At 46.8% G+C, this 25,071-nt stretch overlaps 1 protein-coding gene across 16 annotated transcripts in view, besides 3 other annotated features; it reads left to right on the top strand.

Annotated features, from left to right (window-relative positions):
• The window catches only part of TRAPPC9 (trafficking protein particle complex subunit 9), a 730,855-nt gene that overhangs the window by 4,024 nt on the left and 701,760 nt on the right, over positions 1–25,071 (top strand). For 15 of the 16 annotated variants that reach the window (NR_164662.1, XM_011517326.3, NM_031466.8 and 12 more), the window contains exons 2-4: positions 3,173–3,766; positions 15,359–15,504; positions 19,316–19,444. Coding sequence is in view for 15 of the 16 variants with exons in the window: in XM_011517326.3 (XP_011515628.1) it covers positions 3,173–3,766; positions 15,359–15,504; positions 19,316–19,444 (869 nt within the window). In the remaining variant the exon portion in view is untranslated. Of the gene's footprint in view, positions 1–3,172; positions 3,767–7,101; positions 7,123–15,358; positions 15,505–19,315; positions 19,445–25,071 lie in introns of all 16 variants that reach the window. The other variant, NM_001374682.1, reaches the window with a different exon arrangement.
• Positions 5,280–5,852: an enhancer, noted in NCBI's record as "H3K27ac-H3K4me1 hESC enhancer chr8:141458803-141459375 (GRCh37/hg19 assembly coordinates)". NCBI's record gives its function as "activates a minimal SCP1, AML or CMV promoter by ChIP-STARR-seq in primed H9 embryonic stem cells {active_cell/tissue: H9 hESC(primed)}" and the evidence as "EXISTENCE:reporter gene assay evidence [ECO:0000049][PMID:30033119]".
• Positions 5,853–6,426: an enhancer, noted in NCBI's record as "H3K27ac-H3K4me1 hESC enhancer chr8:141458229-141458802 (GRCh37/hg19 assembly coordinates)". NCBI's record gives its function as "activates a minimal SCP1, AML or CMV promoter by ChIP-STARR-seq in naive and primed H9 embryonic stem cells {active_cell/tissue: H9 hESC(naive and primed)}" and the evidence as "EXISTENCE:reporter gene assay evidence [ECO:0000049][PMID:30033119]".
• Positions 7,372–7,666: a silencer, noted in NCBI's record as "tiled region #8823; K562 Repressive non-DNase unmatched - State 14:Gen5'". NCBI's record gives its function as "represses a minimal TATA promoter and a strong SV40 promoter by Sharpr-MPRA in K562 cells {active_cell/tissue: K562}" and the evidence as "EXISTENCE:reporter gene assay evidence [ECO:0000049][PMID:27701403]".

Below are 25,071 nucleotides of genomic sequence, written 5' to 3'. Positions count from 1 at the left end.
CGATTCTCCTGCCTCAGCCTCCTGAGTAGCTGGGATCACAGGCATGCGCCACCACGCCTGGCTAATTTTTTGTATTTTTATTAGAGACCGGGTTTCTCCATGTTGGTCAGGCTGGTCTCCAACTCCTGACCTCAAGTGATCTGCCTGCCTCCGCCTCCCAAAGTGCTGGGATTACAGGTGTGAGCCACCACACCCGGCTGATTATGCTGCTTTTTAGATGAGACGATAGTTTTTATTTTTAAATCATTTTTATTTATTAATTTTTTTGAGATGGAGTCTCGCTCTGTTACCCAGGCTGGAGTGCAGTGTTGTGATCTTGGCTCACTGCCTCCTCCACCTCCTGAGTTCAAGCAATTCTCCTGCCTCAGCCTCTGGAGTAGCTGGGACTGCGGGTGTGTGCTACCACTCCTGGCTAATTTTTGTATTTTTAATAGAGATGGGGTTTTGTCATGTTGACCAGGCTGGTCTCTAACTGCTGACCTCAAGTGATCCTCCCGCCTCTGTCTCCCAAAGTGTTGGGATTACAGGTGTGAGCCACCGTGTCTGGCCGAGATGATACTTCTAAAATAAGGCCCTTTGTTACCTGCGGTGGGCCGCGCTCTCCTCCTCTGTAGAATGAAGGCTTCGGTGTTTCTCAGCTTCTGTTAAACCTGTGCCTACTTTTGAGAAACATGAGCGCTCCAGTCTCCCCCGCTCAGTATTTTGATATGTCCTCCGAGGGGTTTTATGCCTCTTTGTTGGAAGGTGATGTGATTTTGGTTCTTTCGAAGGTGGTTTTTGTGTGCAGAAAAGACTCTTTAGGGAATCGTTGTGGGGAAAGGGCAGGAGAGAGTGGGGCGTCGTCCTTGAGAGCGTGAGCACTGGAGTCAGGGACTTGGGCTGAGTCACACACATGTAATATACTTGTGAACCGTTTAGATCCTGGGCAGAAGCAAGACATGTTGGGAGGCTAGGGTTTCCTTTTTTTAAAATTTAATTTTGTTCATACTTCTCTATCCATGTGTATTTTTGAAGTCTGTAGAGGTGGGGTTGTGATGTCCAGGATAGCCCCCGACACACAGTCCTCCTCCTCTCCGTGCAGGTGAGAAGCTTGCCATTAGAATTTCACAGAGGTCTTATAGCAATGTCACTTTAATCTTAGTGTCACCTGGGAGGGTTTTACTGCCACGATCTCTGCAGTCAGGCTTTGGTGACCTGAAGGTTATGCAGTTTTGGGCTTCCTATTTAAGAAAAAGAAAACAAAATTAAAAATGCAAAATTAGATAGAGGGCCATGGAAGGGGCCTGAAGCTGAACCCCATTAGCTCATGGTACAGCTGCCTCTGGCCATGGGGACCATGGCCAAATCCCCTCAGGAAGTGTCAGCCCACTGATGGGGACAGTGGAGGTGTGTATCGAGGCATCTTTTTCTTATTTGATACAGAGAGCTCATTTAATCTCCCTAACCTTTAAAAAAATTAGACTTTTTATTTGAGACTATAGTAGTTGTAGCTCCATGTGCATTTGTCAGAAATAATACTGAGGGATCCTATATACCTTTTGCCCAGTTTCCCCCCGTGGTGCCATGTTACAAAACCACAGTATGTTATCACAACCAGAATGTTGACTTGCTGACACCTTGAGGTATGTGTTACTATCCTCATTTTTATTCACAATGAAACTAGGGTTCAGGGAAGCACACAGGCTTGCTCCAGGTCACCCAGATCGTGCGTGTAGAGCTGGGAGTTGAATATCGGCCCTGACTTCCAGGCAGTGGGATTTCCATCATGACCGTCTGTAGGCTGGGGGCAGCATTCATTGGATTGTTCATTTGTTTGTTTGTTCACTAATCCCTTCAACAAACATGTATTGAGGATCTCCTATGAGCCAGATTCTTTCACGTGGGTCATCTAATTTAATTTTTCCCCAGCTCTGGGGAATCAGGTAATAACGTTTTCTTTTTATATCTGACAAAATTGGCTCAGAGAGGTTATGGCAACTCTCCCATTTATAAAGGAAAGGTGGTATATTTGTGTAATCTCTCCTTTTATGTTAGGCACAATGCTAGGCCCTTTACATTCGCAACCTCCTCAATCTAGATACAGTTTTATAAGGCAAGTTCTTTTTCTTTTAATTCTTTTTTTTTTTTTTTTTTTTTGAGATGCAGTCTGGCTCTGTCGCCCAGGCTGGAGTGCAGTGGCGCCATCTGGGCTCACTGCAAGCTCTGCCTCCCTGGTTCATGCCATTCTCCTGCCTCAGCCTCCCAAGTAGCTGGGACTACAGGTGCCTGCCACCACGCCGGGCTAATTTTTTGTATTTTTAGTAAAGATGGGGTTTCACCATGTTAGCCAGGATGATCTCGATCTTCTGACCTTGTGATCTGCCTGCCTCAGCTTCCCAAAGTGCTGGGATTACAGGTGTGAGCCACTGCGCCCCGCCTCTTTTTTTTTTTTTTTTGAGACGGAGTCTCACTCTGTCACCCAGGCTGGAGTGCAGTGGCGCAATCTTGGCTCACTGCAGCTTTCACCTCCCGGGTTCCAGTGATTTTCCTGCCTCAGCCTCCTGGGTAACTGGGATTACAGGCACGTGCCACCACACCCGGCTAATTTTTGTATTTTTAGTATAGGTGGGGTTTCACCATGTTGGCCAGGCTGGTCTCGAATTCCTGACCTCAAGTGATCCGCCAGCTTCGGCCTTCCAAAGTGTTAGGATTACAGGCATGAGCCACCATGCCCGGCCAAGACAAGTTCTATTATCACCACTATTTTGTAGCTGAGGAGTTCCAGGGAGCCCGGAATTCAAATCCAGATGTGATTGCATGGTGGATTTTTCTTAATATCCTGTTGAGGGGATGGGGGAGCAATTACACACGTGTTTATTCATTCACTCAACAGACATTTTTGAGCACTGACTCTTACTACTCCTGGTTAGGTGGTGAGAATAGAAAGACAAGAAACAGCCCCATTTCTGTAGAAGCTCCATGCTGAGGCCAAGGGACTGAAGGTCAACAGTTACAGCATTATGATCAGAGCTGCGACAGCCACGTGTAGAGCCCTAAGACCTGTTGATGCCACGGCTTTCCTTGGGGCTTCCCCTGCCTCTGGGTAGTGAAGGTCACAGTCACTGCCTCCCAGGGTAGGCTCTCAGCACTCAGGACTCTGTGTCTCACAGCCTCATTTCTTCTCTCTGAACAGGGACTTCAAAATGAGCGTCCCTGACTACATGCAGTGTGCTGAGGACCACCAGACGCTGCTCGTGGTGGTCCAGCCTGTGGGCATCGTCTCCGAGGAGAACTTCTTCAGGATCTATAAGAGGATTTGCTCTGTGAGTCAGATCAGCGTGCGGGACTCCCAGCGAGTCCTCTACATCCGCTACAGGCACCACTACCCACCCGAGAACAACGAGTGGGGTGACTTCCAGACCCACCGCAAAGTCGTGGGCCTCATCACCATCACAGACTGCTTCTCGGCCAAGGACTGGCCACAGACCTTTGAGAAGTTCCACGTGCAGAAGGAGATCTACGGCTCCACACTGTATGACTCCCGGCTCTTTGTCTTCGGGCTGCAGGGGGAGATCGTGGAGCAGCCGCGCACCGACGTGGCTTTCTACCCCAACTACGAGGACTGCCAGACGGTGGAGAAGAGAATCGAGGACTTCATCGAGTCACTGTTCATCGTGCTGGAGTCCAAGCGTCTGGACAGAGCCACAGACAAGTCTGGGGATAAGATCCCCCTTCTCTGTGTCCCGTTTGAGAAAAAGGACTTTGTAGGACTGGACACAGACAGCAGGTAAGCTTACCTAGAGACCCAGGCCCCTTGGCTTCCCTGCATCAGAAAGGGAAAGCACAGGGCAGAATTTCATTGCAGCAAGGAGTAGAAAGGTGTTGTCCATTGGTTTTTAAAACTAATGACTTTCTGTCAGAATCTGTTTGAGTGCTGCTAAAAAAACCAACCAAACAAAAACCAGTGACTTTTAAAGACAGAGACAGCCTTTGGTTGGGGGAGTCCTTTAGAGTTGTCTTGTACACTCCCCTCTTTTTAGTGGGGCTCCCCTCGTGGGACTCCTGGAGCTCTGTCCCATACAGCAGCCACAGCCAGTTGTGGCTTTTGGGCACTAGACACGAGGCTAGTTTTAGTTGAGATGGGCTGTGAATAAAACCCACGCCAGATTTTGAGACTTACTTCTGAAAAAATAAACTTTCTTGCTAATTTTTTTTTGAGACAGAGTCTTACTCTGTCTCTCAGGCTGGAGTGCAGTGGCGCGATCTTGGCTCAGTGCAACGTGCACCTCCCGGGTTCAAGTGATTCTCATGCCTCAGCCTCCCAAGTAGCTGGGACTACAGGCAGGTGCCACCATGCCTGGCTAAGTTTTGTATCTTTAATAGAGACAGGATCTTGCCACGTTGGCCAGGCTGGTCTTGAACTCCTGGCCTTGAGTGATCTGCCTGCCTTGGCCTCCCAAAGTGCTGGGATTACAGGTGTGAGCCTCTGTGCCTGGCCAACTTTCTTGCTAATATGTTTTATACAGATTACATGTTGAAATGATAGTATTTTACATATCTTAGGTTAAATAAACTATATTTTAAAAATCAGTATCAACTGTTTCATTCTTACTTTTAAAAATGTGGCAACTAGAAACTGAAATGTACTTACGTGGCTTGCATTTTATTTCTGTTGGACAGCACTGTGCTAGAGCACAGTTTGAACAGTTTTATTCAGTCTCGTCCCTTTGGTTCACAGATGAGAGGGTGAATCTGGAGAGGTAAGGGCTAGGTCCTAGCTGAGCTAGAAGTAGAGCCCACGTCTCCGGATTGCCAGGCTGTGCACCCTGCGTATGTGGCTACTTTTTCCCTCCTGATGGCCACAGTGTCGAATTCCTCACTTACAAAGCAGCCAAGCATGGATATCAGGATGCCAGAAATACCACCTGGGAGCTCCTAAACAGCTACCGTATACAAATGAAAAGTATGTCTGTTCTCTCTGTGTACAAGGAGTGTTGGATAGAGCAGGAAAAGGTCAGCTTCCCATCTTGCCTGTTATTAAGTCAAAAACTTTATTTCAAATCAAAATTGCAGATGAGCTCTTCCTTGCCACTTCCTTCCACTCTCTGCTTGCTGCTGTGTCTTGCCATGGTGGCTGTTCTGCAGAGCTGGATGAGATGCAAGCCTAGGCAGCAGCTGTTTGCCAAGAGGGCGTCCCCATTTGCCAGGGAAAGTGATGTGTCACTGTGTCAGTCACTGGCCTCCTGGCTTGGACAGGGCTCTCCCTCCTCCTGTATAGGATTGGCTGATGAGCCACAGGTGAGGATTCAGTGATGTAAGGTGCATGCCACCATAGTGCCTGCTGCAAAGTAGGTGCTCAGTATGTTTCTGAAATTTATCTAAGGTCACACGGTGTCGTTCTGGTTGTTGGTAAGTATGAGGAGAGATGATCACAGAATTGAGACACAGTAGTCTTAAATCCAGCCCTCAGAGTTGGAAGCATGGAATAGCCTCAGTCGCACCTGCCTGTGGTGCTTTGCAGGGTCTGGAAGGAAGGAATTTTCATTTCTTCACCCAAATGTGCATATTTGGCTTAAGGAAAGGAAAAGGCATGCTGTAGACCTGCTCTGTGTTTAATCCTCACGGCAGCCCTGTGATCTACACGGGGTTGCTGTGCTGGCTGATGTGGGGCTGAGGCAGCAAGGTTTAGAGACCCGGGCAGCCACCAAGCAGCAGAGCTGATATAAGCACCAGGTCTGTCTCTGAGGCCCGGGGCCTTTCTACCTCACCTTGTTGCCTTCTGCTGCGCCTCCTGTGCCTCGTGAATAGCGCACACTGCTGTCCAGCCAGCAGGCACTGTGGGAGTCATCCCTGATAAGGTGTTGCTGTATGGTGTGCACAGCTTGGCGGCCACCTGCCAGGTCGGCAGGGAGTGGCCTGCCCCTGCTTTACAGAGAAGGGGTGAGGGGTTGAAGCTCACAGGCAGCATGGGTCAGGAATCCTGCTCTGACCCCTTGACTCATGCCTTCCTCCTTTGCCACATGGGCATCAGTGACATTTTTCAGTCATCCACTTCTTGGCTGTGAGGTTGCAGATCCACCTTCAAATGCCAGGTCTTTTTTGCCTTTTGAAATCTGAGCTCACAACTCTGCAGGAGGAGCGGGAGTGTGCTGTGACGCAGTGCGTCACGCATAGTGGATAAGGACTGACAAGTGTTTGTTAGAGCCTTCATATGCCAGGCATGGCTCCAGGCACTGAAAATACAGTGGCACATAAAGCTGCTTGCTCACTGTAGTGGGACAGCCGCAATTAGACATCAGTTAGCATTTGAACTTCAGTGAGATAATGACACCAGTGAACTCAAATCAAATACATCCTCCTCTCATAATGGGTAACCTGTTGTTGCTTTTGTTTCTCCATGGTTCTCTAATTTTTTTTTTTTTTTTTTTTTTGAGATGGTGTCTTGCTCTGTCACCCAGGCTGGAGTGTGGTGGTGCAGTCTCGGCTCACTGCAACCTCCACCTCCTGGGCTCAAGCGATTCTTTGTGCCTCAGCCTCCTGAGTAGCTGGGATTACAGGCGTGCGCCACCACACTCAGCTAATTTTTGTATTTTTAGTAGAGACAGGGTTTCACCATGTTGGCCAGGCTGGTCTCGAACTCCTGACCTCAAGTGATCCACCTGCCTCGGCCTCCCAAAGTGCTGGGATTACAGGTGTGAGCCACAGTGCCTGGCTGGTTCTCTAATTTTTGAAGGAATGCTTTGGTGCAGGAACAAAGCCTTGTCTCCCCTGCAGCTCTTGGTAGGAGTGAGGAAGTGTCCAACCTGAAATGGGGTGGTATTTTGTAGCTCAACAGGAAATGTCCAGATGTAAGGCCAGTTTTGGTTTGACACATTGACCATACTGATAGGCCTCCTGACAGGTCATTCTACCTTCGGGACCTGGAGTTCCCCGGTACACGAGGTGTAGGTGTAATTTACTTACCAGCTCACATGTGCCCCTCATGAAAACCCATGGCCCATTCTTGTCCATGTAGTGTTGTAGTTATCAAAATTATTTCTGTTCTTATATGTTTCTAATTTTTGCTTGTTCCTCTTTCTTTTCTTTTTCTTTTTCTTTTTTTCTGTCATACTGCCCTGTGAGTGTGTTATTGGGTCTGAAAAGGTAGGCTGTCAACATGTTGCATTAAAAATAGCTAGATTTCCCTATGTGCTGCCTTCTCATAGCCTTCACTGCTTTAAAAAACAAACACTGCTGTCTAAATCTATATGTTAACTGGATAGTCTTTTCATTTTTTTAAAATATGTTTTTTAATTTTAGCTTTTTTTTAGCAGGTAACCCATTGGCGTTTGGTGTTTGCTAAAATATTTGCTCTGGGGGATCTTGTTCAGTCTGTAGCATTTAGTGACACACCAGCCTTTATTCTTTGGTTTGTTTGTTTTGAGGAAGTGAATTGCTAATTGATTTAGGCGGCTTTAGGGGGTTTTCCTGGGATAGCTTAACTGCAAAAGTCCCAGGCTGCAGCGCCATGCTTGATCCTGGGCTTCTGAGCGAACGTTTCTGGCCTGTGATTCCCGGCTGTGGCTGTGGGCCGTGCATGAAGGCAAGGAATGCTGGAGCTGGAGTGTGCTGGTGGCCAGGGGAGCTGCGGGAGGGTGCGGCTGTCTTTTCTTTTGCTTCTGCCTGGAGCATGCCATTTCCCATTTCCTTCACCTCAGCGACTTTCCACCGTAAAGGAGACACAGGCCATTCTAAAACCCACACCAGGCTGGGTGCGGTGGTTCACATCTGTAATCCCAGCACTTTGGAAGGCGGAGGTGGGTGGATCACCTGAGGTCAACATGGTGAAACCCTGTCTGTACCAAAAATAAAAAAGTTAGCCGGGCGTGGTGTCATGTGCCTGTAGTCCCAGCTTACTTGAGAGGCTGAGGCAAGAGAATTACTTGAATCTGGGAGGCAGAAGTTGCAGTGAGCCGAGCTCATGCCATTGCACTCTAGCCTGGGCGACAAGAGCGAAACTCCATCTCAAAATAAAAAACAAAAAAACCCACACCAGTCTTTTGCGCCCCTTATGAGGGCTCAAGGGCAATTTGTTTAAGTGTCAGGGAAATACGGCCTTCTAGTTCACTTGGATCTTGCAGACACAAGGCCCTGTATAAGTGACCACTTTCCTTTTTGCTTCTGCCAATGAGCATTCAGAACCAGAGAGGCAGTTCAACCTTAGCTATTGTACAGACTTTCCATTTAACCTCATGTAGGTAAGACATAGAAATAACTGTGTCTGCTTTTTTTTTTTTTTTTTTTGAGACAGAGTCTTACTCTTTCGCCCAGGCTGGAGTGCAGTGGCGCGATCCTGGCTCACTGCAAACTCCACCTCCTGGGTTGAAGCAATTCTCCTGCTTCAGCCTCTCAAGTAGCTGGGATTACAGGCATGTGCCACCACACCAGGCTAGTTTTTTGTATTTTTAGTACAGACAGGGTTTCACTATGTTGGCCAGGCTGGTCTCGAACTCCTGACCTCAAGTGATCCACCTGCCTTGGCCTCCCAAAGTGCTGGGATTATAGGCATGAGCCACTGCACCAAGCCAGTGTCTGCATTTGTTGACGCTAATGTCCCTCACTGGTGGCACATCATTTGTTTGCATTACTGATCTAGAGTCTCCAACACCAAGGGCAGCCCTGCAGGACACTCTTTGGCTGGCCTAGTCCCCTGTGGTTTCATCCCCCTCAGGGAAAGGTTCTCGCTCTGTGACCTGCTGCCACCACCTCACTGCCCAGGGGCCTTGTTTCTTCCTCAGTGCTCTGGTCCAAGTACCAACACTTTCTTTCTTCATTTGCTTTGTCCCAGTTGAGACAGGCTGGGCTTTCTGAAAGATTTCATCACATTCTAGGGTGGTGGAACAGAAGAGACATGAATGTATTAAGTACAGGAAGTCGTAGCTGTCCAGCTTGGAAAATGCAGGGCAGGGATCCAGTGGTGGCTGGTTTAACCCTGGGTTGTGGGCCTTTTCTGCCGCCACTGGCTCCCAGGATCCATGGGGACAGCCTGGCCCGGGCTCCCTCCTCCCCTGCTCTCCTGGCAGCCGAGTCTCGGAGTTCACAACCCAGGTGCTCTCCTGGACCGCAGGCCCTTCAGAGTTCAGACCACAGGAGAGTCTTGAGTCCTTGTCCTGGGCTGTCCTCTCCACCTCCTGTGTGAGAGACAAGCGCCTTTCCTAAGTGACCTGTGCCAGGAGAGACCTCCCTCATTAGCAGGTGACCTCCAGAGGTGACTCAGCACACATTTACGGGAAGCTTGCCATGTGCTGTGCTAGGTGCTGGGGCACGAAGCTGTGATATACTTTAGAGACAGAGGTGGGGAAGAGATGATGGACAGAAAGGAGAAATCTGTCTGAGAGTGTGACTCGAACAGAGTAGCCGGTGGGCTGTTTCTTACCATGGGGGAAACTGGGAGGCCATGGGGGAAGTGTTTTTGAGATGCCTGTTGGGCATTCAAACGGAGAGATTAAAGAGGCAATCGGATGTGAGTCCGGAGCTCAGGGGCAGGAGGTGGACTAGAGAGACACATGGTTGTTGGCAGTATGTAGCCTGTGTTGAAAACCCTGAAGGTGGATGAGCTGAGCGAGGGAGAATGCAGATGGAGGTAGGAGGAAGGCCCCGGGCTGACCCCTGGGTGCTTGCTGTGACCAGGAGACTGGAGGACAGCCCAGATCCTGTTTTTTTTTTTTTTCCTGAGATTGGAGTTTCACTCTTGTTGCCCGTGCTGGAATGCAGTGGTACCATCTCAGCTCACTGCAACCTCCGCCTCCCCGGTTCAAGTGATTCTCCAGCCTTGCCTCCTAAGTAGCTAGGATTACAAGCATCTGCAACCATGCCCCACTAATTTTGTATTTTTAGTAGAGATGGGGGGGGTCTCACCATGTTGGCTAGGCTGGTCTTGAACGCCTGACCTCAGGTGATCCTCCTGCTTCAGTCTCCCAAAGTGTTGAGGTTACAGGCGTGAGCCACTGCTCCTGACTGGGGTTTTCTATATTATTCCACGGAGTTAGGGGTTTTAGGTGCAGCTGCCACTTCTTCTAAAGGTACTGGGGGTGGGGCTGCTACTAAAGAAATCCGAAGGGAATGATGTGGCCAGATTTGCCCTTCACCGCCTCCGTCCTGGCAGCAGGATGGAGTCCCAGCTGAACAGACTGTCTTTCCCATGGACCCAGAAGGGCAGATCAGGAAGGGCATCTTGAGGAGAGAGGTGCTGGGGAATTGGGGGAGGGACTGTTGGATAGTTCTGGAATAGCTCTTTTTAACAAAAGATAAAAAACACAAAACAAAACCCTCTTATGAACATTGTAGTTACTATTGAGGAAGCAGTTCTTTTTTTTTTTTTTTTTTGAGACAGAGTCTCACTCTGTTGCCCAGGCTGGAGGGCAGTGGCATGTTCTCTGCTCACTGCAACCTCTGCATCCCAGGTTCAAGCAATTCTTTTGCCTCAGCCTCCTGAGTAGCTGGGACTACAGGTGTGTGCCACCATGCCCGGCTAATCTTTTTTTTTTTTTTTTTTTTTTTTTGAGATGGAGTCTAGCTCTGTCGCCCAGGCTGGAGTGCAGTGGCGTGATCTTGGCTCACTGCAAGCTCCGCCTCCCCGGTTCAGGCCATTCTCCTGCCTCAGTCTCCCGAGTAGCTGGGATTACAGGAGCCCGCCACCACGCCTGGCTAATTTTGTGTTTTTAGTAGAGATGGGGTTTCACCATGTTGGCCAGGCTGGTCTCAAACTCCTGACCTCAGGTGATCTGCCCGCCTCGGCCTCCCAGAATGCTGGTATTACAGGCGTGAGCCACCATGCCCGGCCTAATTTTAGTATTTTTAGTAGAGACAGGGTTTTGCTATGTTGGACAGGCTGTTCTCGAACTCCTGGCTTCAAATGATCTGCCTGCCTCGGCTTCCCAAAGTGCTGAGATTTCAGGTGTGAGCCACTGCGCCCAGCTGCTCTGGCATCTTAAGTTTGTCTGCTTTGGTGCTTTAGCTCTACCATGTGGGCACCTTTTAGTATACTTACTGTATTTACATCAGGCACGTAGTCAAAAGGCTCCCCACCCCAAAACATTGTAGTGCAAAATTATGGGCTGTAGCCATTATTTAAGTATACAAAGACTTCTTTTTTTTTTTTTGAGATGGAGTCTTGCTCTGTCGCCCACGCTGGAGTGCAGTGGCGCGATCTTGGCTCACTGCAAGCTCCGCCTCCCGGGTTCACACCATTCTCCTGCCTCAGCCTCCTGATTAGCTGGGACTACAGGCGCCCACCACCACGCCTGGCTAATTTTTTGTATTTTTTAGTAGAGACGGGGTTTCATCATGTTAGCCAGGATGGTCTCGATCTCCTGACTTTGTGATCTGCCCGCCTTGGCCTCCCAAAGTGCTGGGATTACAGGTGTGAGCCACCGCGCCTGGCTTTTTTTTTTTTTTTTTTTTTTTGAGATGGAGTCTCGCTCCGTTGCCAGGCCAGAGTGCAGTGGTGCCATCTCAGCTCACTGCAACCTCTGCCTTCCGGGTTCAAGCGATTCTCCTGCCTCAGCCTCCTGAGTAGCTGGGACTACAGGCACGTGCCACCATGCCCAGCTAATTCTTGTATTTTTAGTAGAGATGGGGTTTCACCATGTTGGCCAGGATGGTCTCTATCTCTTAACTTTGTGATCCGCCTGCCTCGGCCTCCCATAGTGCTGGGATTACAGGCATGAGCCACCTCGCCAGGCCCAAAGACTTCTTAAACTGTGTAATACCATCCCCGACCCTGCAAAAGAGATTCTCTCTATCCAGGTTCCCTTGGATTTTAATTGCAAACTGTTGTTGTTGAGCAGCTTTAGCTTTTCTTTGGATTTGAATGTAGAAATTTATTTGCCAGATAAATTGTTTTTTGGACTAGAATACCAAGCTCTTGTTTTCCATAAGCCATATAAATAGTACCAAAATCAGAAAAATATTAAGCATTTTCTTCTTTTTTTTTTTTTTTTGACAGAGGCTCGCTCTGTCGACCAGGTTGGAGTGCAGTGGTGCAATCTTAGCTCACTGCAAGCTCCGCCTCCCAGGTTCACACCATTCTCCTGCCTCAGCCTCCCGAGTAGCTGGGACTACGGCGCCTGCCACCACGCCCGGCTAATTTTTTGTATTTTCAGTAGACACGGGGTTTTGCCGTGTTAGCCAGGATGGTCTCAATCTCCTGACCTTGTGATCCACCCGCCTCGGCCTCCCAAAGTGCTGGGATTACAGGTGTAAGCCACTGTGCCTGGCCTCATTTTGTTTTTATACAATTTAAAATATTTGTATGGTTTTATTGTATTATGACTTTCATATGAAAAACTATAAGAGTATTTATATGACTTTTTGTAAAAGTCCTATGTTTTCAAAACAAATTGTTTATCATAATGTTTGCACTTTTAAAAACAAGTTATGTATTTAGAAGATGCTACTAGAAAAATATTTTTGAAATTTTGTGGGTTATATTTTGCTACAGCAGGTGTACACTTTTGTGAAGTTCATGTGAAGATGTAATAATTTACTCCTTTCTTTTTTTAAGGGACAGGATCTTGGTCTGTTGCCCAGATTAGAGAGCAGTGGCAAAATCATGGCTCACTGCAGTCTCGAATTCCAGGGCTCAAGTGATCCTCCTGCCTCTGCCTCCTGAGTAGCTGGGACTACAGGTGGGAGCCACCATGCCAAGCTACTTAAAACAATTTTTTTTGTAGGCTGGGCACAGTGGCTGACTCCTATAAATCTAGCACTGTGGGAGGCCAAGGCAGGTGGATTGCTTGGGCCCAGGAGTTCCAGACCAGCCTGGGCAACATGGTGAGACCTTGTCTCTACAAAAAATATAAATATTAGCTGAGCAAGGGGTTGTGTGCCTGTAGTCCCAGTTACTTGGGAGGCTGAGGTGGGAGGATCACCTGAGCCTTTGTAGAGACATGGTCTTGCTCTGTTGCCCAGCCGTCTCGAAGTCCTAGCCTTAAGTGATCCTCCTGCCTTGGCCTCCCAAAGTGGTGGTATTACAGGTATGAGCCACCATGCCTGACCTAATTTACTTCTTTAGGATGCTTTAAAGCAAATCTTTTCTAATTGGTTAGGAGTAAAGTTTTGTTGTTGCTTTAAAGTCTAATTTAAAATATATTAAACTAATATACAGTAGTATTTGTAAACTTATTCATGTATTAAGAGTTGACAGTTATGTTACTGGTGGAGGAAAATGTCCATTTGGATACTGAGTTTTTTTTTCCCATTTGGAACAGGATAACATACCAAGGAAGTGAGCAAAACACTGTCTACCTTTGAGAGTAAGAGCTGGCTGGGCAAAGAACTGTAATCCCAGCTCTTTGGGAGGCTGAGGCAAGAGGATCACTTGAGCCCAGGAGTTCGAGACCAGCTTGAGCAACATAAGGAGACCCTATCTCTACAAAAAATAAAAAACAATTAGCCAGGTGTTGTGGTGCACACCTGTGGTCCCAGTTACTGGGGAGGCTGAGGTGGGAGGATCTCTTGAGCCCAGGACTTGGAGGTTGCAGTGAGCTGTGATTGTGCCACTGGGCTCCAGCCTGGGCAGCAGAATAAGACCTTGTCTCCAAAAAAAAAAAAAAAAAAAAAAAGTAACAGTGTTCTAGAAACACATCAAGGACACTTAACCCAAAGTGCAGAGGTTGGAGTCAGGGAAGGCTTCCTTGAGAACCTGGTCATTGAGATGAGCCTAAAAGAGAGTGGAAGTTGTGAGGCGGATAGAGCCTGAGGTTGGGGGACTTCAGCGTTGCAGCAAGGTTGCCTGTGGAGTGCAAAGCCACAGTGGTAGGAGGGGAAGCCAGAGCCGTGGGAGGGGCTAGCTATGGACTGCATGCCTCTCCCTACGACTGAATTGAGCATCCTGTGAAAGGTTTGCAGTGGGGGAGGGACACAGACTGATTTGTGCTTTGGGAAGGACACTCTGGCTGTGTGTGTATAGAAGCAATGAAGGGGAAGGGGGTGCAGGGTGAGGAGTCAGAGACTAGGCGGAGGCTGCTGAGGTGACTGCTGTTGGGATGGGAAGAGCAGCTCAGATGCCTTTCTTTTCTTTTCTTTTTTTTTTGGGAGTCTCACCCTGTCCCCCAGGCTGGAGTGCAGTGGCATGATCTCGGCTCACTGCAACCTCCGCCTCCCGGGTTCAAGTGATTCTCCTGCCTCAGCCTCCTGAGTAGCTGGGACTACAGGCGCGTGCCACCACGCCCGGCTAATTTTTTGTATTTTTAGTAGAGATGGGGTTTCACCGTGTTAGCCAGGATGGTCTCGATCTCCTGACCTTGTGATCCGCCCGCCTCGGTCTCCCAAAGTGCTGGGATTACAGGCGTGAGCCACTGCACCCTGCTAGATGCTGTATTTTCTTATGGGGAGGGTCTGTTAGCAGGGGCCATCCTGACACTGCCTTGTGGCCAGGAAGGAGACAAACGAAGGCTGGCGTTTCTTTTTCTTTCTGCGTCTGCCTTACGTTGTGATCTTTGTTTAAAACTTATTCAGAATGGAAATGCTAAATTCCAGAGTAACAAAGAGTTTGTTGAACTCGTTAGAGTTACACATGATAGGATTTAACATTGTATTGAGATGTGTCAATAACATTCATTTACTTAGAAACGTCACATCTTCTGGATTTCCAGAGGAGTTTTATTCTTGATAAGTTTGCTTTCTTGATGAGGGAAAGTTTAATCCAGCTGCAGTTTTTCTTTAAAAAAAAAATCATCTATCTTAAGAAATATAACATTTAAAGGTTAGATGTATTTAAAAATGATAAAAGGAATACTTTGGTACAGTTTCTTTGGTTTCTGAGTTGATTAGGGACTCAGAAGCCTTTGCATTATTTAGTGGTATATCCTTGCCAATATTTAAAGAGCTGTTAGTGAGCACCCCAGGCCCTGCTCTCTGGAAGCTTTCCTAAAGCTTGCCCTGAAATAGCGAGGATGAACGTCTTGTTTGCTAAAGCCAAATGGTTGGCTAATAAGACTCAGCATAGCTGTCTTTATAAAATAATAAGAGGTTTGATGTTAAGAAGTGGAAGATAATTGATTTTTTTAAAAAGCTGAAACATAAACTTCCTTATGCTAATGTTACAACTGGAAAATCTAAAAAGAAAAATCCAACTGTAACATTGCCTACGTGAAAGACATGGTAGAAGTCCTTACGTACCGATCACCTTTAAACAAATTGCTTGGCAGTACATTTTTGAAATTAAGACCACTCCAGCTCACATAACTGGCAATGATTATTGCTGACTTAAAATTATAGAGCCTACAGTTGCCTTCTTAGCATTTTTAGTAGTGAGAGAATTGAATAGTGCTTAGTCAGAGTGCTTTCTGGGTGGGAGTTGTATAGTAATAAAGATACATTTTCATGTATTTTCTAGACATTACAAGAAGCGGTGCCAAGGCCGCATGCGGAAGCACGTGGGGGACCTGTGCCTGCAGGCAGGGATGCTGCAGGACTCCCTGGTGCATTACCACATGTCGGTGGAGCTGCTGCGTTCTGTGAATGACTTTCTGTGGCTTGGAGGTAAGATGAGCTGATGAAGATGATCTGATATGTAATTGTTTCAACTGTTAATTAAAATGAGAGGCTGGGTGCGGTGGCTCACGCCTGTAATCCCAGCACTTTGGGAGGCTACGGCAGGCCAAATATGAGGTCAAGAGATTGAGACCATCCTGGCCAACATGGTGAAACCACGTCTCTACTAAAAATACAAAAATTAGCTGGGCGTGGTGGCACGCGCCTATAGTCCCAGCTACTCGGGAGGCGGAGGCAGCAGAATTTCTTGAACCAGGAGGCAGAAGTTGCAGTGAGCAGAGGTTGCACAACTGCACTCCAGCCTGGCAACAGAGCGAGACTCCATCTCAAAAAAAAATAAAATAAAATAAAAAAAGAAATGAGAGGAAACGGCAGAAGAAATTCCCCAAAAAGAAGGGATGAGGGAGGAAAAGCAGCCAGCCTGTGCTGGTTGCCACGAGCAGTGGCCTGGGATGCTTCCCTGCTGTATCTGCTGCCCTCCTCCCACCCTGCCATGCGTCCTCTGAAGGAGGCCCTGCCCACACTTTCCCTTTTCCTCTGTTCTTAGTATACCTTGCCCTCTGCTTTGGATGCCGTTCCCCATGATCTTCACCTCTTAGACTCCTCCCTCAAAACCTCCTCCATGTGTCACATGATGAATGGATAAACGAAATGTGGTATGGGCATACAGCGGAATATTATTCAGCCATGAAAAGGAGTGAAATTGTGATACCACTGCAGCACGGATGAACCTTGACAACTTTGTGCTAAGTGAGAGAAGGCAGGCATGAAAAAGGCCGCAGATTGTATGATTCTATATATATGAAGTGGCTAGAATAGGCAAATCTATAGAAGCAGAAAGTAGACAACTGGTTCTAGGGGCTGGGAGGAGGGGGAATGGGAAGTGACAGTTAACGGGCATAAGGTTTCTTTCTGGGGTGATGAAAATGTTCCAGAGTCAGTTAGTGGTGATGGTTGCACAGTTGTGAATATACTAAAAACTGCTGACTTGCACACTTTAAGTGGGTGAATTATATGGTATGTGAACTCTATGTCAATCTTAAAAATTAAAAGAAAGGGAAGAAGAAATCCTACTTCAAAGCACAGCCATCTCTGATCCCCCGCAGCAGTCGGCAGAGCGGGTGCCCTGCCTGAGATGTTGCTGACACTTCGTGGTGGAATCGGATGTCTGTGTGTGGTCTTCCCTTTGGGGACTGCGCCTCCTGGAGGTGGTCCTGGGAGGATGGACTGGCTGAGTCCATTGTGTGGGTAAGGACTAAAACAGGGTTCTTTCGTTGAGGTTGACAGTTTAGCAAGGACACCTGTCAGCCACTTATGATAATACAAGTCGGAATGAAGTAATGAGGTGAGTTCTGTAACAGAAGTTTAACGAGGTGCCGTAGAACATATTAAATATAACAAATTCTTTCGTTCTTGGGGACGGAGTCTCGCTCTGTTGCCCAGGCTGGAGTGCAGTGGCATGATCTTGGCTCACTGCAATCTCCGCCTCCTGGGTTCAAGCGATTCTCCTGCCTCAGCCTTCCGAGTAGCTGGGACTTACAGGCATGCACTACCACACCCGGCTAAATTTTCTATTTTTAGTAGAGACGGGGTTTTGCGATGTTGGCCGAGCTGCTCTTGAACTCGACCTCAGCTGATATGCCTGCCTTGGCCTCCCAGAGTGCTGGGATTACAGGCATAAGCCACTGTGCCCAGCCAAATATAAGAAATACTTCAAACGGCCAGGCATGGTGGCTCATGCCTGTAATCCCAACACTTCTACAAAAAATAAAAAATAAAAAAATCTTACTTCACCTCACTTCTACAAAACAAAATTAAAAAACATTAACTGGGTGGAGACCAGCCTGAGCAACATAGGGAGACCTCACTTCTACCAAAATAAAATAAAATAAAATAAAATAAAAAGACATTAGCTGGGCTTGGTGGTCTGTGCCTGTAGTCCCAGCTACTTGTGAGGGTGAGGCAGGAGGATCGCTTGGGCTCAGGAGGTCAAGGCTGCAGTGAGCCACGATCGCACCACTGCACTCCATCCTGAGCAAGAGTGAGACTTTGTCTCTTAAGAAAAAACCAAAATAAAACTTAAAATGGACTTAAATTTAGTTTTTTAAAGAGGCTAGGGAAATAGAAGTGGGGAAAGAAAGGGAGTAAGAATTAGGGATGGAAAAGAAAAGAGAATCAGATAAAGGATTATGCAGGCTGAGAAAGACATAGTTTTACTTGGTTTTCTTGAAAGAGCATTGTCTCCCTAAGTACTCCTTATTGTATCAATTAGAGAATCTGTGCATCTCCCAGTGGGCTCTGAGACTAGGGCATGTGCAGCAGGTGCTTCTCCAGAAAGACTGGTACTGCCCATATGCCTTCCCCATGCGGCGCTGGACTGGATGAGGAGGGCTCCTAAAGGGCACACAGAGAAGGACGGTGCTGTGTGCCGTGGGCCTCTTCCATGCTCAGCCTCTCAGAAGTGGACAGTGGAGTTGTCCACAAGCTACTTAGGCCTGACATCACAGCAGACTGAATGTAGAAGCTGATAGAAGATCCAGCTGACTTGTATTAACTCTGATATTAAAGAAATGTGTGAACATGTCAAATAATGCCATTCCTCCAGTACTTTATTTTTGTTTTGGAAAACAATTATTTTTCATAAAACTGTTAACACATGACAAGCTTATTATTTTATTTTTTATTTTTATTTTTTTGAGTCAGTCTCACTCTGTCGCCCAGGCTGGAGTGCAATGGCGTGATTTCAGCTCACTGAAACTTCCATTTCCCAGGTTCAAGCGATTCTCTTGCCTCAGCCTCCCGAGTAGCTGGGGCTACAGGTGTGTTTTATCATGCCTGGCCAATTTTTGTATTTTTAGTAGAGTCAGGGTTTCACCATGTTGGCCAGGCTGGTCTTGAACTCCTGACCTCAAGTGATCCACCCACCTTGGCTTCCCAAAGTGCTGGGATTACTGGCATGAGCCACTGCGTCTGGCCTATTTTAAGAGGAATTAATACATAAATACTTAAATCCTTTTCTCAGTTTTATTTTCCAATATGGTAAATATCTACAGGTGTAACCCACATCACAAAAAAAGCTCTTTGTGATCCTAAGTCATTTTTAAGAGCATCAAGGAGTTTTTAGACCAAAAGTTTAAGGAGCACTGAGTTAATGGATAAAGATGATAGAGATGAATACTGTGGCACACCTTCTAAGGCATGTGGCATAGCTGGAGATTATTAGGTTGTTACGTCATGAGAGAAGAACGGACTGTGTAGCGAGTTAATATGGCTGTTTTTGAGGAAGAGGGAGGACTACAACCTCAAAAGGAGCAGATGCCTATGGGGTGCATGGTCTGGAAAGGCATTCTGGTCTTGCTTTGGTGCTATTACTGTGAAATATTTTCAATCCAGGGCACTTTCTGTTATACATCTCTGTAGCTCCAGAACCTGGCGCAGTCTGCCACACAGTTTGTGCAGGAATGCCGGCCACGTGAATGGATGAACGCAGAGGCTGGCCTGTTTTACGTGTGCAGTCAGCCCTGCAGGGAAACCTTGAGTGTGGTGAGAGTGTTCTGCATTGCCTGCCTGGACATGGGCATGGGAAAGACAGGTGGCAAGTTCCCATTTGCAAAAAACTAGTGATCTTTAGGTTTGATCTTTGTTTTGGGAGAAAAATTGGCATTTCCAAATAATCCACCTGTTTAAATCATTGTTAGTTACTGCAGTTTGAGCTAATGAAGGGTCACTGACTTGACTAATGATGCTGGTTTTTGTTTTTTGTTTTCTGGTTTTTGTTTTTTGTTTTCTTAATGCCCAGCTGCCCTGGAAGGATTGTGTTCAGCTTCTGTCATCTATCACTATCCTGGTGGAACTGGTGGGAAGAGTGGAGCTCGGAGGTTCCAGGGCAGCACCCTTCCTGCTGAAGCAGCCAATAGACACCGGCCAGGTGAGCTCTGCCCTTTTTCCGGCCTCTGCTCACTTGCAGTCTTTAAATAAAGCAGACTCATTTGTTACTTTTTCCTTTGAGTTAGGACTAATATTTAAATAAACTGTAAAATCTGTTGAGTCAGTAATTTTTTTTTTTTTTTGAGACAGAGTCTTGCACTGTTGCCCGGGCTGGAGTGCAGTGGCGCAATCTCGGCTCACCACAGCCTCCACCTCCCAGGTTCAAGCAATTCTCCTCCCTCAGCCTCCTGACTAGTTGGGATTACAGGCGCCCGCCACCACACATGGCTAATTTTTTGTATTTTTAATAGAGGCGGGGTTTCACTATGTTGGCCAGGCTGGTCTCGAATGCTTGACCTCGTGATCCACCCGCCTCGGCCTCCCAAAGTGCTGGGATTACAGGCGTGAGCCACCATGCCCTGCCCAGAAATCTTGTATGAGACATTTTGTTCTGATTTTATTGAATACTTTCAATCTTACTGAATACCACTAATGGGTTAGAATGATTGGTTGATTTCTGGAATACTTGTGTAAAATTTCCTGGTAGAACAGACTTGAGGTTCTGTGTCTAAGTCTTTTTTATAATTTTATGTATTAGGAGAAGCTAGTCCCAGAGGTCAATTTTAATAAGCTGATTCAGGGCCTGGGAGCAGTTTCTTATTTTATTGGCTGATGACATTCTCTCAATGAGTTGTTTGATTTGCTTATGCTTGGTAGAACCAATGAAGAGTGAGAAAACTTCTTGGGTAGAGCAGACCCACGAATGCTGAATGAACATGAACGTTTTGGTCCTTGATGAATGAACCTGCCTTTAATGGCTCAGGATTTAGTCATCATGTTGCATAGGTCACAAAGAAGGAAGCAACAAAATAATGAAAGCAGGGATTTATTGAAAACGAAAGTACACTCCACAGTGTGGGAGTGGGCCGAGCAGCGGGCTCAAGGGCACGGATACAGAATCTTCTTGGGTCTAAATACCCACTAGAAGTTTCCCATTGGCCACTTCATGCTCACCTCTTGTAAATGAAGTGGTAGCCTGCAGTTAGTCTGATTGGTTGCGGAAAGCAGCCACTCAGAGGCTAAGGTGAAGTTACAAAGTTATGCTTCTATGCAAATGAAAAGTAGACAAAGTTATACTTCTCTGCAAACTAAGACTCCACCAGCAATCAGTCTGAGTGGTTCCGGACAGCCAGTTTCCCACCTGCCATGCAGAAAAGGTCAAAGGGAGCAGCCTCTGGTCCTTTTGTTACTTAGTCATGGAAAGTTAGGGTTTTCCTTTCAATGTAGTTGTAGGAAGTCTGTGTGAAACAACCTTAAGTTCTTTGCCTCTAGATCCTATTCTTCTGCCTCAGGCTTATCTTTTTTGTGATTGAGAAAATTTTGATTTTTTTCCTGTATCTGTAATAGATGAGAAAAGTAAAAACGTTGATTTGACATCAGTTACTTTTCCTTTATAGATTGACTACAAGGGGACATTGTTGAATAGATTATGTGTGTTTTTGTTGTTGTTGTTGTTGTTTTTTGAGACAGAGTCTCGCTCTGTCACCTGGGCTGGAGTGCAGTGGCTCAATCTCGGCTCACTGCAACTTCTACTTCTTGGGTTTTAGTGGTTCTCCTGCCTCAGCCTCCCGAGTAGCTGGGATTACAGGTGCCCGTCACCACACCTGGCTAATTTTTGTAAATTTCAGTAGAGATGCGGTTTCACCATGTTGGCCAGGCTGGTCTTGAACTCCAGACCATAAGTGATCTGCCTGCCTCGGCCTCCCAAAGTGTTGGGATTACAGGTGTGAGCCACCGCTCCTGGCCTGTGTGTTGTTTTTTGAGACAGAGTCTTGCTCTGTTGCCCAGGCTGAAGTGCAGCAGCATGATCTCGGCTCACTATAACCTCTGCCTCCCGGGCTCAAGTGATTCTTGTGTCTCAGCCTCCTGAGTAACAGGATTACAAGTGTGTGCTACCATGCCCAGCTAATTTTTGTAGAGACGAGGTTTCGCCATGTTGGCCAGGCTAGTCTCCAACTCCTGACTCAAGTGATCCACCCGCTTCGGCCTCCCAAAGTGCTGGGATTACAGGTGTGAGCACTGTGCTTGGCCGATTATGCTGTTTTAATATATAAATAAATGTGTTTGTATTTCAACAAAATTGTATGATTAATAGTTGGCAGTCCTTTGGGAAGTATTTTTTTGTAAGACACTTAGGCTATTTACTGACTGAAATATAGAGACATGACTTTTTTTTTTTTTGATACAGAGTCTTGCTCTGTTGCCCAGGCTGGAGTGCAGTGGCGCGATCTCGGCTCACTGCAACCTCCGCCTCCCGGGTTCACGTCATTCTCCTGCCTCAGCCTCCCGAGTAGCTGGGACTACAGGCGTCCGCCACCACGCCTGGCTAATTTTTTGTATTTTTAGTAGAGACAGGATTTCACCGTGTTAGCCAGGATGGTATCGATCTCCTGACTTCATGATCTGCCCGCCTCGGCCTCCCAAAGTGCTGGGATTACAGGCGTGAGCCACTGTGCCCGGCCAGACGTGACTTTTATGATTATAGGGTTGGTATAGATTAAGGTGGCTTTTGGTATAGTGCAAAATCCAAGGACTAGGAGAAAGCTTTGCCACTGATTGCTAGAAGAACAAATTCTCTGGGTCTCAACCTCACTACCTGTAGAATGAAGAGAGTGGGCCAGATGCTCGAGTTTTCTTCCTGTTCTAAGATTAGTTTCTATGAGCCTGTGTCTTCTGTTTATATTTAGGGGTGTTAAAGTTTTTGGATTAAATACTGAATACTGTTCCCTTCCTTGAAGCAGATTTCAGTATGTGCTAGTTACACTTTTAGTTATGGTCTCTGAGCATCGTATTTTAAAAAGCCCTGTTGATCATTTCTTATTATGCCAACAATTAAATTTGTTACCTTTTTTTTTCAGCAACCTGGAAAGACCTTTCTGGCCATAGGTGGCGCTGTTGTACACATATATTTTTAATGTCCTAATTTCCCTGTTGGTGAAAGAAGACTTAGACAAGGCTTCCTTCATTTGAATTTTGCTGTTGTTGTTGTTTAATGCTTTAGAATAGCACTATGCCCATTATATTTGGATACCTGGAAAAGTATTCTAGTTATTTTTATTATGTCATTTCAGCATGAAAATTTCAGATGTGCAATGTGGACAGTGGTGAAATTGGACTTTTCTTCCAATGTCAGAAGGCAGTCAGCCATGATTTATAAAAGAGATAGAAACTGTCTGGAGCACCTTAAAGCTGAAAAGAATCTGGAACTCCCTGAGTATTGCACCCAGTTTTGCATGTTTGCTAGTGGGTGGTGTTGTGGTGTCATGGAAAAGCCTCGTTCAGCTGGCTTGTGTCTGAATGCAAGTCCTACAGTTCTTTCTCAGGTGCCCCCCACCTCCTCGCTCTGCATCTATGAGCAGGGGCTCCTAATTTCTGCTTTGTAGAATTGTGAGAATTAGAGAGAATGTGTGCAAAATGTTTAGCGTGGCAGTCATCTCATAAAATATCTCACGACCATTAGCTATTATTTTATATGAAGTCATCATTTTATAGTGTTTGGAAATTACTAAGGCATTGAAATAGGAAAAATGTTTTCGTGAAGAGAGACTCAGGAAATGAAGGAAATATTTGAGGTGGGTCAGTAGTTTTTATTTTTATTTTTTTTTTTGAGACAGAGTCTCACTCTGTCGCCGAGGCCGGAGTGCAGTAGCTCACTGCAACCTCTGTCTCCTGGGTTCAAGCAATTCTCCTGCCTCAGCCTCCCGAGTAGCTGGGATTACAGGCACCCACCACTACGCCCGGCTAGTTTTTATATTTTTAGTAGAGACGGGGTTTCACCATGTTGGCCAGGCTGGTCTTGAACTCCTGACCTCAGGTGATCCGCCTGCCTTGGCCTCCCAAAGTGCTGGGATTACAGGCGTGAGCCACCGCGCCCGGCGAGGAGGGTCAGTAGTTCTTATACCCATAATTTAGCTGCAGGTTTAGAGACATGGCCGTTATGTAGCCATCTTGACCTACCCAAGCCACAGAATTATTTGTGGATTAGTATATGTTGGGGCTTAAAGGGGCCCAATAAAAACACCCCTGTTTTCTTCAACAACCAACTGAGAGACGAGACAAGAGTAAGGTAGAGAATAAAAATTCCGCCCTTATTAGTGATGAAACCACATTCTCTGCCGGGCATGGTGGCTCACACCTGTAATCCTAGCACTTTGGGAGGCCACAGTGCATGGATCGCTTGAGCCCAGGAATTTGAGACCAGCCTGGGCAACATGGTGAAATCCTATCTCTACAAAAAATACAAAAAATTAGCCTGGGATGTTGGCGCGTGCCTGTAGTCCCAGCTACTCAAGAGGCTGAGTTGGGAGGATTGCTTGAGCCCAGGAGGCAGAGGTTGCAGTGAGCTGAGATTCTGCCACTGCACTCCAGCCTGGGCTACAGGGCAAGACCTTGTCTTAAAAAACAAAAAACAACCCCCACATTTTCCATGAACTTGAGGGATGCAGAAAAATGGGCATCCTACTACTGTGTGTCCAAGATCTGGTGGCTCTGGGCCACAGCAGACCTTCCTACGAGGGGCCCTCTCCCTGTCAGCCATAGGCATGGCGGAGCAGAACATCCCGTGTGCTTCCTGAGTGCAGCACCCAAGGGCAAAAGAAGGGGTTCACATGCCCAGCTTGTCTCCCAAACTCATCTTACACCTCACTCCACTTGGGTGGGGGAGGAATGGGGGTGGGCAAGAGGTCAGTGGTGCTTAGGACAAAGCCTTTATTATGGAAACCAGAGGAGTGAAGAGCAAGTGCCATCTTCCCCCTCAGTTTAAATAGGTCATGGGGTGACAGTTCTTTCTTTGTAACACAGAAATAAGGATATCCTTTGCTATTTAGACTAGTAAGGAAATACAAAGGATGATTAGAAGGGACATTTGTAAAATCACTGTAACAGATAACATTTTTTTTTTTTTTTTGGGATGGAGTCTCACTCTGTCATCCAGGCTGGAGTGCAATGTCGTGATCTCGGCTCACTGCAACCTCTGCGTCCCGGGTTCGAGTGATTCTCCTGCCTCAGCCTCCCAAGTAGCTGGGATTACAGGCGCCTGCCACCTCGCCCAGCTAATTTTTGTATGTTTAGTGGAGACACGGTTTCGCTATGTTGGCCAAGCTGGTCTCGAACTCCTGACATCAGGTGATCTGCCCACCTCGGCCTCCCAAAGTGCTGGAATTACAGGCGTGAGCCACCACACCTGGCTGATAACATCTGTTGAACATTTAAAATGTGCTACACACATTTTATTTATTTTTATTTTTTTGAGATAGAGTCTCACTCTGTTGCCAGGCTGGAGTGCAATGGCACAATCTTGGCTCACTGCAACCGCTGCCTCCCGGGTTCAAGCAATTCTCGTGCCTCAGCCTCCCCAGTAGCTGGGATTACAGGTGTGCACCACCATGACCAGCTAATTTTCGTATTTTTAGTAGAGATGTGGGTTCACCATGTTGGCCAGGCTGGTCGCAAACTCCTGACCTCAAGTGATCCACCCACCTCGGCCTCTACACACATTTTATATACACCAATTTAACCCTTTAATCTTCACAACAACCAGATAAGGTAGGTTGGATTATTATCCCAGTT

Source organism: Homo sapiens, chromosome 8 (genome assembly GCF_000001405.40).
Source record: "Homo sapiens chromosome 8, GRCh38.p14 Primary Assembly".
NCBI classification, from domain to species: domain Eukaryota; kingdom Metazoa; phylum Chordata; class Mammalia; order Primates; family Hominidae; genus Homo; species Homo sapiens.
Note: the sequence above shows the minus strand (reverse complement) of the source record. Positions and strands in the feature narration are given on the sequence as shown.